An 11,962-nucleotide genomic window follows, 5' to 3' on the forward strand; every position below is an offset into this window, starting at 1 on the left:
CAAGATTTTTAAAAAATTTATATTCAATCCTGTGGATTAAGTCATGTATTTTGCATAATCTAGCCAGGCTCTGAAGCAAATTTTAACTTTAGGGTATAAAAAGAACAAAAGAAAAATTTTACGCCCACTGCCTTATAACTACCAACATACTCATGTAGCCGTTTTCATTTTTAGGTATATTGAAAAGTCTGATTCAGTTACAATCAGTGTATGGAATCACAAGAAGATCCATAAGAAACAAGGTGCTGGATTTCTCCGTTGTGTTCATCTTTTTCCAGTGCCATCAACCACCTCAAAGACACTGGTTGTGAGTAGATACTACTGCTTTTCAAATTTTATATATATATGTGTGTGTGTGTGTGTGTGTGTATGTATGTGTGCATATACATATGTGTGTGTGTATATGTATGTGTGCATATACATATATACATGTAGTATATATGTATTCTCAAATATATATGAAGGATATATATATTTGAGTATGTTGGTAGGGGTTCAAACATAACTTCTTGTGTATGTCTGAAACATTGGTAAAAATTCCTGGTCTAAATTTATTTTGTAGACTTAAAAAAAATGAAACGTTTTAAATATGTGAAACTTACAGCTAAATGAGAGCTGATGCTTCATTTCCAGTTAATTTAAAAGTATTAAGAAATGATTGATATCTAGAATGGCAAAAAAAAAAGGTGTCAGGATTTACATACCTTTTAAAATTTCTTAGTACCCTTTTCTGGTTGTGGTGGATTTGTGGACAACATGTTTTTATTTAGGTGATTGGGGTCTTTAAGGTGGCAGTTAAAGAGCAATTACGAAGGGATAAGAATGGTATAATATATAAAACTGCTGTGACAAAATTAAAAGTTAAAGAAAGATTAAACATTATTTTGAGTGTATGACGGCTCTATGAACTACTTAACTGTAGCTCAGTTTATCATCAACCTGGGCGTTTAGAAGATTAGACCAAGATCAAGACATTAGAAGTGGTTTTCATAATGGATTTATAAGGTGACTTAGCATAACCAGGTGACGGTCTTTTGGGTGGGTCTTTCCATTGGAACATAAATGGGAATTCCTTTTTCAACAGGTTTTCTGTGTGTGTGTTTGTTTCTATAGAATTCTTGTGTATATAATGTAAAAAATACTGTTAGTCTTTGTAATGGGATTTTAGCCCAGATGCATATGCTAAACAAACTCACATAAGAGCTAAAGAAATTAATAAACAGAAAAGGAGTAAATTTAGCATTGAATGTTAAATATATTAAGAGATTGTCTCTTTTAATGTAGTATGATACCACAGCATAGGTATATATTGACCTTGTGAAAAAGAAAAAGGCAGAAAACTGAGCTAGAAGTTCTTAGTCCAAGGTATTTAAAGGCATCTGAGAAGTTCTTGTATTTCTGGGCTGACGGGGTAACCAACAGGAGAGAAAGGACAGTGGGATTGGAAAAAACAAGTTGCACATAAAAATGAACTGTTTTCTTACTCAGCAAACTGAAAAATTATAGGTCAAACGTCTGACATTATCCCTAGTTCAATTTAGCCAATGTTTATTGAAGACTTAATGTGCTACTGTTCTAAACCCTGGCTGTATAAAGGAGAAAGAGGCATGAACCCTGTCCTCTGAGAAGGAAGGGCAAAGGCCTGCTGGCAAAGGGAGCATGCCGCATGGGAAGGACTGAATAGGAGAGGAGTTGCTCTGCAGAATCCACTGTGTAGCCAACTTAGCAGCACCCATTTATTTTGCAAAGAGAAAAGTGTCTGTATTTTTGGTTGGATAACCAGGGACTGTAGTTTAGGGGCATGGATTTTTCTTTGTGTTTCTTGTGACTGTTTCATTGTATTAATTTATTTGACTTTTTTCATGTGCAGTAATATTGAATTTATCAAATATTTATTGAGCACCTACCTGATGCAATGTTCTACTGGGTTGGAGTGGAAAATACAAAGACTACGATATGGTCTCCTCCTTTTATCAATTCACAAATAAGTAGACAGATGGCATACGGTTGTAAAATTATTCAGCTGTAAGTACTGTAATCAAAGTAAAACCAGCATGCTTTGGGTGACATTGTTCCTTACTGTAACTTTCAGGGTCAGGCCAGTGTTATATCTCTTTTACAGATGAGGCATCTGAGAGAATAAATGAGTTGCTCCTGAATGAATTAGTGGCAGAACTGATGCAAACCCAGATTCTACAGTTTATTCTTGGCTTCTTATTAATACTTTTTTGTGTGCATGTCATTTGAAATGGTTAGTTAAAAAATAATAATGACAGCTAACATTTGTTGACCATTCATGTGCCAGGCACTATGCTGTGAGTTTTGCATAATTATCTGATTTAATCCTTAAAAAATATGAGGATTCACATATTGCCATATATGAGAAAACCAAGGCTCACGGATAAATTCCTTAAGACCAACAACTATTAAGACAGACTAAAGTGGTCTAAAAGTTTTGGAGAGAAAGTGACTGCATGTTGGCAATGAAGTACACCAGTGTTTCGTAGTTTTTGAAATCTGAATTCTTTAAATGATAGGTTTGATTTCTAATGGATTGTGGAAATTTATTGTCACTCTATAGACATGAGAATCTCTGATACCAGCTAATGTTTTCATTTCTTTCTTTGTTGATTTCAAATAGATCAGAGGTTGGATTTATGCAAACCTGGGCCAAAGGACAGTTAGAAGACGGTAAGTAAGTGTGAATTTAAAGTTACATGAATTTTGGTTTCATTCAAACTGACCTAAAGTCTAAATACCATTTAAATCAAAGTATGTTAACTGTAGCTTCATAGTGTTGGCCTGAATTAAATGAATCAGGTAAAATGTTACAGTGAATCCAGGATCCAGGTTAACTTAATTTTTAAAACTTTAATGTAAAAAAAAAGTGTCATGAAGAACTGTTGATCCTTTAGGAAATAATTTTTTCAAAGTATCCTAACATAGTAGAGCACTGAGTTCAGACTTTATAGATGTTATTAAAGTTTACTGAAAATAATTCTCAAACTAGTTTTTTTAGTAAGAAGACAACATTCTATTGAACTTGTTTTAATGTTTAATGCTTTACAGCTTTAAAATCTATGCCAATTGAAAAAAACAGAATGAGCAATGTTAGTGTAACACTGGAAAAAGGGAGAAATTGTTACCTTACTCATGAGGCACTTAGTAGCCTTATATGGTATTTAGGTGTCTTGAATTGACCTGGAGGGAAAGGCTTCACATAAAATTTGCTGAGACCTTTCTTAAGAATTGATAGAGATTTGATCAAGATGCATAGTATGGAAGGACACTGTTCATCTTGGAGGCTTCTTAAATTAAAGAAGAAAAATGTTGCCGGGCACAGTGGCTCATGCCTGTAATCCCAGCACTTTGGGAGGCTGAGGCAGGTGGATCACCTGAGGTCAGGAGTTCGAGACCAGCCTGGCAAGCATAGTGAAACCCCATCTCTACTAAAAATACAAAAAATTTGCTGGGAATAGTGATGAGTACCTGTAATCCCAGCTACTCTGGAGGCTGAGGCAGGAGAATCGCTTGAACCCAGGAGGCGGAGGTTGCAGTGAGCCGAGATCACACCATTGCACTCCAGCTGGGTGACAAGAGCAAGCCCCTGTCTCAAAAAAAAAAAAAAAAAAAAAGAAAAGAAAAAAGAAAAATCCAATAAGACTGTCACACTTCATGATGAAGCAGAACTTAGAATAAGACTATTTTGTTATGAACCCATCATAGAGGTTTTAATTACCGAAGGTACTTGAAGGACTTCATTTCACAAGGCAGTGAATTGGGTTCATGGAGAACTACCAGGGTAGCCACATAGCAAAGCCCTACTCTGGTTATCTTAGGGAAGTATCTACACCAGCACTCCCCGACCTTTTTGGCACCAGGCACCGGTTTCACGGAAGACAGTTTTTCCATAGACCAGGCTGGGGTGGAGTTGGTTTCAGGATGATTCAAATGCATTACATTTATTGTGCACTTTATTATTATTACATTGTAATATATAATGAACTAATTATACAACTCACCATAAGGTAGAATCAGTGGGAGCCCTGAGCTTGTTTTCCTGCAACTAGATGGTCCCATCTGTGGGTGATGGGAGACAGTGACAGATCATCAGGCATTAGATTCTCATAAGGAGCAGGCAACCTAGATCCCTTGTGTGTGTGGTTCACAGTAGGGTTTGTGCTCCTATGAGAATCTAATGTCACCACTGATCTGACAGGAGGCGGAGCTCAGGCGGTAATGCTTACTCACCCACTACTCACTCCTGCTGTGCGGCCTGGTTCCTAACAGACCCTGGACCAATACCCCATCCATCCATGGCCTGGGAGTTGGGGATCCCTTATCTACACTACAGCATTACTGATAATTCCTGTCATCCTTAGATTGAGAAGGAAGCAAAAACAAAAAAAATCTCAAAAATCAATTCAGTCATAACAGTACTTTCACATATAAGTGTTCCTTCTGTATTTGATTTATTATGTTACATAATGCTTGCCAACTACTGTCTAGTAGTAACAAAATAGTTTTACTAGATGTGAATTTGCATTTATATAAATAGCAGACTTTGTTAGACATTAGAAATATACCTACTGGAGGTCAGGTACGGTGGCTGACACCTGTAATCCCAGCACTTTGGGAGGCCAAAGTGGGTAGATCACCTGAGGTCGGGAGTTCAAGACCAGCTTGACCAACATGGAGAAACCCCATCTCTACTGAAAATACAAAATTAACTGGGCGTGGTGGCACATGCCTGTAATCCCAGCTACACAGGATGCTGAGGCAGAAGAATCACTTGAACCTGGGAGGCGGAGGTGGCGGTGAGCCGAGATCATGCCATTGCACTCCAGCCTGGGCAACAAGAGTGAAACTCCATCTCAGAAAAAAAAAAGAAAAAAAAGAAAAAAGAAATATACCTACTGGAGTATACTACATAGAAAACAAATGTTTTACTCTTAAATATGTGTATATGTGTATATATATGTATTTATTTAAAGCTCTTGTGTGAATCTGCTGTTCATAATAGGACCATTAATAAGAGAGAGGGAGGCTGGACTCAAACATTATGATTCTTTAGTTCTGTCATTCAAAAACAGAATGAGTTCCAGTTCTTTCAGAATTAGCCCTCTAACAAATAATTGTAAGTAGGTATATATACTTTTTGGAAAATGGAGAAAAGAACACTAGAGGACTAACTTTAAAAACTATATTCCCCTCTAGTGTCTTTATATACATAAATATGTATATAAAATGTATATATTTATGTCTTTAATTCCAGTGAAGATTAAATTTCTACTTTGCTTTCTTTCACTTACCATAATCGTTTTTAGTATTTATAATCTTTGTAATTAATGATATATATATATATATATATATATATATATATTTTTTTTTTTTTTTTTTTTTTTTTTTTTGAGACGGAGTTTCACTCTTGTTGCCCAGGCTGGAGTACAATGGTGCGATCTTGGCTCACTGCAACCTCCACCTCCCAGGTTCCAGAGATTCTCCTGCCTCAGCCTCTCAAGTAGATGGGATTAGAGGCATGCGCCCCGACGCCTGGCTAATTTTTTTTTGTATTTTTAGTAGAGACAAGGTTTCTCCATGTTGGTCAGGCTGGTCTCCAACTCCCGAACTCAGGTGATTTGCCCACCTCAGCCTCCCAAAGTGCTGGGATTACAGGTGTAAGCCACCATGTCCAGCCATATTTAATGATTTTTAAAGGATGAAGTATATAGATATATCACAACTTAATAATTAAAAATTTTTTTTGCTATTATAACATTGAAACTTGCAAACATTTTTGTACACTTTGCTTTTTTCTTTTTTAGAATCATTGCTGTATGAAAAAAAAATCTCCCAAGTTGAGATAATTGATTCAAGGAGTACAAACTTTTTTCCTTGTTTAAAACTGTGATGTCCCAGCTACATTGGGAGGCTGAGGTGGGAGGATCATTTGAGCACGGGAAATCTACTGTATTGGCATCGTTATCACTTGGATGTGTACTTTTTCTATGTATTTTTTTAAAAAATGAGATTATACTGAATTTTTAAAAACTGGTTTAAATTTATCATAAACATCTTTGTTTTTTTGGCCCATAAATACATTTCTATAGCATTGTTCCTTTTTTTTTCCTACTTTGCATTAAGGCTTGCAAAATCTATAGCATTTTTAATGTTGTGTGGTAGTCCATGGTGGGTATGTAATTCATTTAACCAGTTAATAGCTCTGCTATTAACACAGCATTCTGGAGATGTAAATTGAAGCCCATGAAATTCTTTAGTTTTGAATCTTACTATTATTCTAAACAAAGCTAACGAGAAAATACATTGTTTCTACTGTGATTGTATTTTGATAAGCATTTCACTTATTTTATCTATTTAAAAACTGATGGATATAGTTGTCTAGCACAGTTTTCATAATAATGTTTTGTTTACATTTGCTGAGTAGGTGTTTGTAGTGTTCTGTCCTCTAAATGGGACTTAATGTAAAGGAGCTCTATGTTGAACTGATCTTTCAAAATGTTCACAGAACTGGAAGATTTCAGAATTTTGAGACCCTTCTTTGAATGAAGGGTCATTAGATGTAATAATACTTTTTGTGCTAACCTATTATTTAAGAAGTTGGATTATAGTCAAGTTTGACTGTACTTCTTTCTGTCTTTTGGGAGAGTTACTAGAATTAGAATTAAACAATACTGGAGCAGCAAAGAAGGACTTCAGTGATATCAATTAAGCTAACTTTCTCATTATTCAGATGGGGATTATCTAAACCTTGCTTATTAAGTGTTTTGTTCAAGTTTACAGTGCTAAACTGGTTACTAGAGCTTGCTCTAGAATTCACATCTCTTGCTTCTTCATTTTTTGTGGTGGTTTTATATACTACACTGGATAATGGTGTCCTGTTAAAACTCATGGAATCCAAGGATTGCTCTCTTGCTGGAATACCAGGATGGCCCTCTTGCTCTAGAATACAGTGTATTTTTTTTCTTTTTTTGAGACGGAGTCTCGCTCTTTCACCAGGCCGGAGTGCAGTGGTGCAATTGCAGCTCACTGCAACCTCTGCCTCCCAGGTTCAGGTGATTCCCCTGCCTCAGCCTCCCCAGTAGCTTGGACTACAGGCACAGGCTACCATGCCTGGCTACTTTTTGTATTTTAGCAGAGATGGGGTTTCACCATGTTGGCCAGGATGGTCTCGATCTCCTGACCTTGTTATCCACCCACCTTGGCCTCCCAAAGTGCTGGGATTACAGGCGTGAGCCACCATGCCCGGCCCAGTGTATTTTTTAGATGGTGAGATTATCAAGTATTAAACTTAATGTGGACTTTTCAAACTCCTTTGTACATGAATATATTCTTAATATGTTATGCCTCTTCTTAAGTACAGTAGTGACTCTGCTATGCCCTGTTACTATGGTAAAGAAGGAATTAGGCTTCTTCCATGAACATGATGAAGTGTAGAAAACTTTAGAATTCTAATACTACTCCTAAAGGGAAAAATCTATGGGAAAAGAAATTATAAATTTTAGTAGAAACCAAAGAGGTCATTCTAAAGTATTAAAATAAGCTAAGCCAGATGTCTTCTAAAGATAGAAATTTTTGATTATAATAATTCTTTCTAGTTGTATGAATCTTAGTAATATTTCTATCATTTAATAGTAAGTCTTCAGTCCAGAGACCAAATTGGTACAGGAAGACAAGTTATGGACTGCAGTCATTTATTTGATAATGATTTACCAGACAAGTAAGGTAACATCACTGAAATCATTAGAGAATTATATAGATAATATCCTTAAATGGCTAGAAATAAATTGGTGTTTATTGTGTATTAAATGGTGTTTACTGTATATTGAATGTAGGTATTCCTTCTAATGGTAAAATTGATGGAAGATCCTGTCACAACAAATTTATAAAATAAGCCATAAATTAGGTGTGTTAAATTTGGTTATTAAGAGTTTTGACTAGGAGACAAATGAAATTTCTTGACAAATATAACTCTCTTGTAAATATTATCTAGTTAAAAAAAAGTTGGTGGATTATTCAAAACAGGCCATGCAAGTGCTAAATTAGAAACATTGCTGTATTTAAGAGGGATGTGATGGATAATTTGTGTAATAGTAATTAACATAACAGTAACATTTAATTGAGCATGTATATGTCAGATAATGTTATAAACACTTTACGTACATATCATTTAATTCTCATAGCATATTGGAAGGCAGTATATAGCCATGCTACTGAAATCAGACCACCTGAATTCTAAGCTTTACTCTTCTGTGTACTGGCTTTATGACCTTGATTTATTTAACTTCCATGGGCTTTGGTTTATATTTATTTACAAAACAGTATGAGTGATAATAGTACATACTCCATAAACTGTTGAGAGGATTAAATGAAATAATTCAGGTAAAGCACTTTAGTACAGTGTCTTTCATAAAATAAGTGCTTCATAAATAATTAGCTACTATTATTTCTATCGCTACTACTATTGTTACCCTCAAAAACTAAGAGTTACAGAAGTTAAGTAATTTGCCTAAGGCCACATAGTAAGTGGCAGAGCCAAAACACACAAACCTGTCTTGATTCTAAAGTCATGATTTTTATCATTGGTCTCTTTGATACTAGTTCTGACTCTTTTCTGATTTTATTTTTAACATTCAAAGTATTTTTAATTAATATCAATGAGATATAACTTACATGTAATAAATTGCATCCATTTAAGTGTATAAATGGTTAAATTTTAACTCCAATTATTTTTTATACAAAATTTTATACCCAGGTTATTATGATATTTACTCATTTTGTTTAAACTGTTAAAAATCACTATAATTGTTTTTAGATCACTTTAGCTTCCAGATATGTCTGTTAGCTCTTTTACAGATGTGAGGTAGATTATGGTATTTTTGAAAAGGAAATTTAGGGCCAGGCGCAGTGGCTCACGCCTGTAATCCCAGCACTTTGGGAGCCCAAGGTGGGCGGATCACGAGGTCAGGAGTTTGAGAACAGCCTGCGTGGTAAAACCCCGTCTCTACTTAAAAAAATACAAAAAATTAGCCGGGCATCGTGGCGCATGCCTGTAGTCCCAGCTACTCGGGAGGCTGAGGAAGGAGCATTGTTTGAAACCGGCAGGCAGAGGTTGCAGTGAGCCGAGATCGCGCCACTGCACTCCAGCCTGGGCGACAGAGCGAGACTCTGTCTCAGAAAAAAAAAAAAAAAAAAAGGAAATTTAGGATGAATTAACTAATCAATATTGAGAGAGTACCAGGAGTAATAAGACTTATTGTTCTAAACTTGCCATACATTACTGTACTGTAATTGTAATCATGGGGAAAAAAACCCTAGCAACTCTTTATTTTCCTTTTTTTTTAGAGCCCTTCAACCTCTGCCAATATCTTTGTAAAAATATTAAGATTATTACATTTCTATAGTGATTTGCCTCTTTTGCATTAAATGAATTATGATACAGAGTTGATAGAAAGTAGCGGCCTTGCCCGGGCATGGTGGCTCAGGCCTGTAATCCCAGCACTTTGGGAGGCTGAGGCGGGAGGATCACGAGGTTAAGAGATCAAGACCATCCTGGCCAACATGGTGAAACCCAGTCTCTAGTTAAAATACAAAAATTAGCCGGGTGTGGTGGCACGTGCCTGTAGTCCCAGCTACTTGGGAGGCTGAGGCAGGAGAATCACTTGAACCTGGGAGGCAGAGGTTGCAGTGAGCCGAGATGGCGCCACTGCACTCCAGCCTGGTGAAAGAGCGAGACTCCGTCTCAAAAAAAAAAAAAAGAAAAGAAGGTAACCATCTTGATTTTTTGTTTGTTTGTTTGTTTTTAGACGGAGTTTCACTCTTGTCGCCCAGGCTGGAGTGCAGTGGCGTGATCTTGGCTCACTGCAACCTCCGTCTCCCTGGTTTAAGCGATTCTCCAGCCTCAGCCTCTGGAATAGCTGGGATTACAGGCAAGTGCCACCACGCCCAGCTAATTTTTGTATTTTTAATAGAGACGGGGTTTCACCATGTTATCCAGGCTGGTCTCGAACTCCTGACCTCAGGGGATCTGCCTACAGTAGCACTCCAAGTACCCACCCAGCCCAGTTGCTGCAGATTCCTTCCCTATCTCCTCTGTCCTCCCCCCTTGCTCAATCCTGTGCTGTGCATCCTGCTCCGATCTCCTCCCAACCCCGCCGACCCCTGAAACGGGAAATACGAGGACACATCAGGTGGCAAAAATACTAGATTTACAAGAGGAAAGAGGTGCATTGTTCAAAATGGAGATTGCATTGTTGCAGTTTGCAGGCCACACTCGCTCACTGTCTCTCCCCCACCAACCAACCCCTTTTTCCTCTTCAAAAAATTTGTGCCAGTGCAGTGTCTGCACCGGGCAGGATTGAAACTTTGGCAAACATATCCATTGCATTCATTTTTCTCCCCTTGTTTTGGTGTGGTTTTCTGGAATGAAAGAAGCCTCTTGTTTTGCAAACCTCTTTGCATTTCTAATGAGGTTTCTTTCGGATTTTTATTGTATATCTGTTCCTTAAAAGAGAATTAAGGATTTGGATGGATTGTGGCACACAGACACACGGAAAAACTTGCCTGTTTTCACACCCCTGGCTGTGGTTTTTAAATTGTGTTAAGGAAACGGATCATTTGGGTTAGTAGGGGAACCTTACCTGGTCCTGTGTGTTTGTTTTTATTCTTCTAGTGCTGATGGGCCCGTGCAACAGTTGCTGGTAAATGGCTGATTAAAAAGCACAGAAAGCCGAACAAGACCCAACCAAATTTGGTAATTCATCCGATTCAAAATTGTTTTGGTTAAATCAAAAATACAAGTACACGACCGCAGGAAAGTGCGTCTTAACTCATTTGATCACTTTGTCTTGCTTGGGAAATGCAGTTTCGTGTCACCTGTTGCAGAAGATGTGTAGTTGATCATCTAGACATAATTGCCGAAGATGAACTTTTGGACAACTTCTGAGTCACACAGCATCAGTATCAGATTTCTTACACAATGACTTTCACTTTTCTCTCTATTTCTGAGGAAAAAGCCCTCCCGAAATCCGTAATGAATTTCTCCATGGTAACCCCTCTTCTGTTTTCACACAGAAAAGTTTCTCTAGGCTGGTGCTGAGATGCATTTTGTTAAACACAATCACCACCCCACCACGCGCCCCCCACCCCCCGCGCTCCCCAAGGCTGCTTTGTATTAAATACGTAGTTGCAATTTCCTAAATCGTGAAATTAAGCGAAGCAACAACCGGCAAGGCTTTTTCTTCATAGTTTTGCAAATCTATATTAATTAAATTAGAATCTGGTTTTAAAAGCATTTAAAAAACAAAGTTTATAAGGAAATCTTTGTGAGGAAAAAGGACCCTTTTTTCCTTGAAGTTAGGCATGTCATGTCTTTTTCAGAGAGACTAGGGTAGTAGAAGTGGTTAAATTGAAAAGTTTCTGTTTTTTAAATAAATGCTTAAATACTTATTGGAGAAGTAGGGTAGTATTATATTAAGCCAAATGTAAACCCATGTAGGTTGTCCTAACATAAACTGAAAAGAGGTAATTTCTTGTGCCCAGTGGTCAGAATCGTTGCCAGACTTGTCCGGGGGAGGCTGGCTGGAGAATGAAGGGAATGAATGAAGTGTCAGGTATTTATGTCTTATATGTAGAAAGGACTGCATGTAAATTCTTGGCAACTTAATTTTAGTCCTATTTTTGTTTTTTTTGAGACGGAGCCTTGCTGTCGCCTAGGTTGGCGTGCAATGGTGGGATCTTGGCTCACTGCAACCTCCACCTCCTGGGCTCAAGCGATTCTCCTGCCTCAGCCTCCTGAGCAACTGGGAGTACAGGTGCCCACCAGTACGCCTGGCTAATTTTTGTATTTTTAGTAGAGATGGGGTTTCACTGTGTTGGCCAGTCTGGTCTTGAACTCCTGACCTCAAGTGATCTGCCCGCCTCGGCCTCCCAAAGTGCTGGGATT

General features: G+C 37.5%; 1 pseudogene across 4 annotated transcripts in view; it reads left to right on the plus strand.

The window, feature by feature from the left end:
- LOC107984974 (SMAD specific E3 ubiquitin protein ligase 2 (SMURF2) pseudogene) overlaps positions 1–11,962 on the plus strand; it is a 38,254-nt pseudogene that overhangs the window by 13,157 nt on the left and 13,135 nt on the right. The window contains exons 2-6 of one of the 4 annotated variants that reach the window (NR_171382.1): positions 175–307; positions 2,642–2,691; positions 9,825–9,947; positions 10,691–10,771; positions 11,560–11,630. The product of NR_171382.1 is annotated as an SMAD specific E3 ubiquitin protein ligase 2 (SMURF2) pseudogene, transcript variant 4 (transcript). The remainder of the gene's footprint in view (positions 1–174; positions 308–2,641; positions 2,692–9,824; positions 9,948–10,690; positions 10,772–11,559; positions 11,631–11,962) is intronic. The other 3 variants (NR_171379.1, NR_171380.1, NR_171381.1) reach the window with 3 other exon arrangements.

Source organism: Homo sapiens, chromosome 17 (assembly GCF_000001405.40).
Source record: "Homo sapiens chromosome 17, GRCh38.p14 Primary Assembly".
In the NCBI taxonomy this organism is placed as follows: Eukaryota; Metazoa; Chordata; class Mammalia; order Primates; family Hominidae; genus Homo; species Homo sapiens.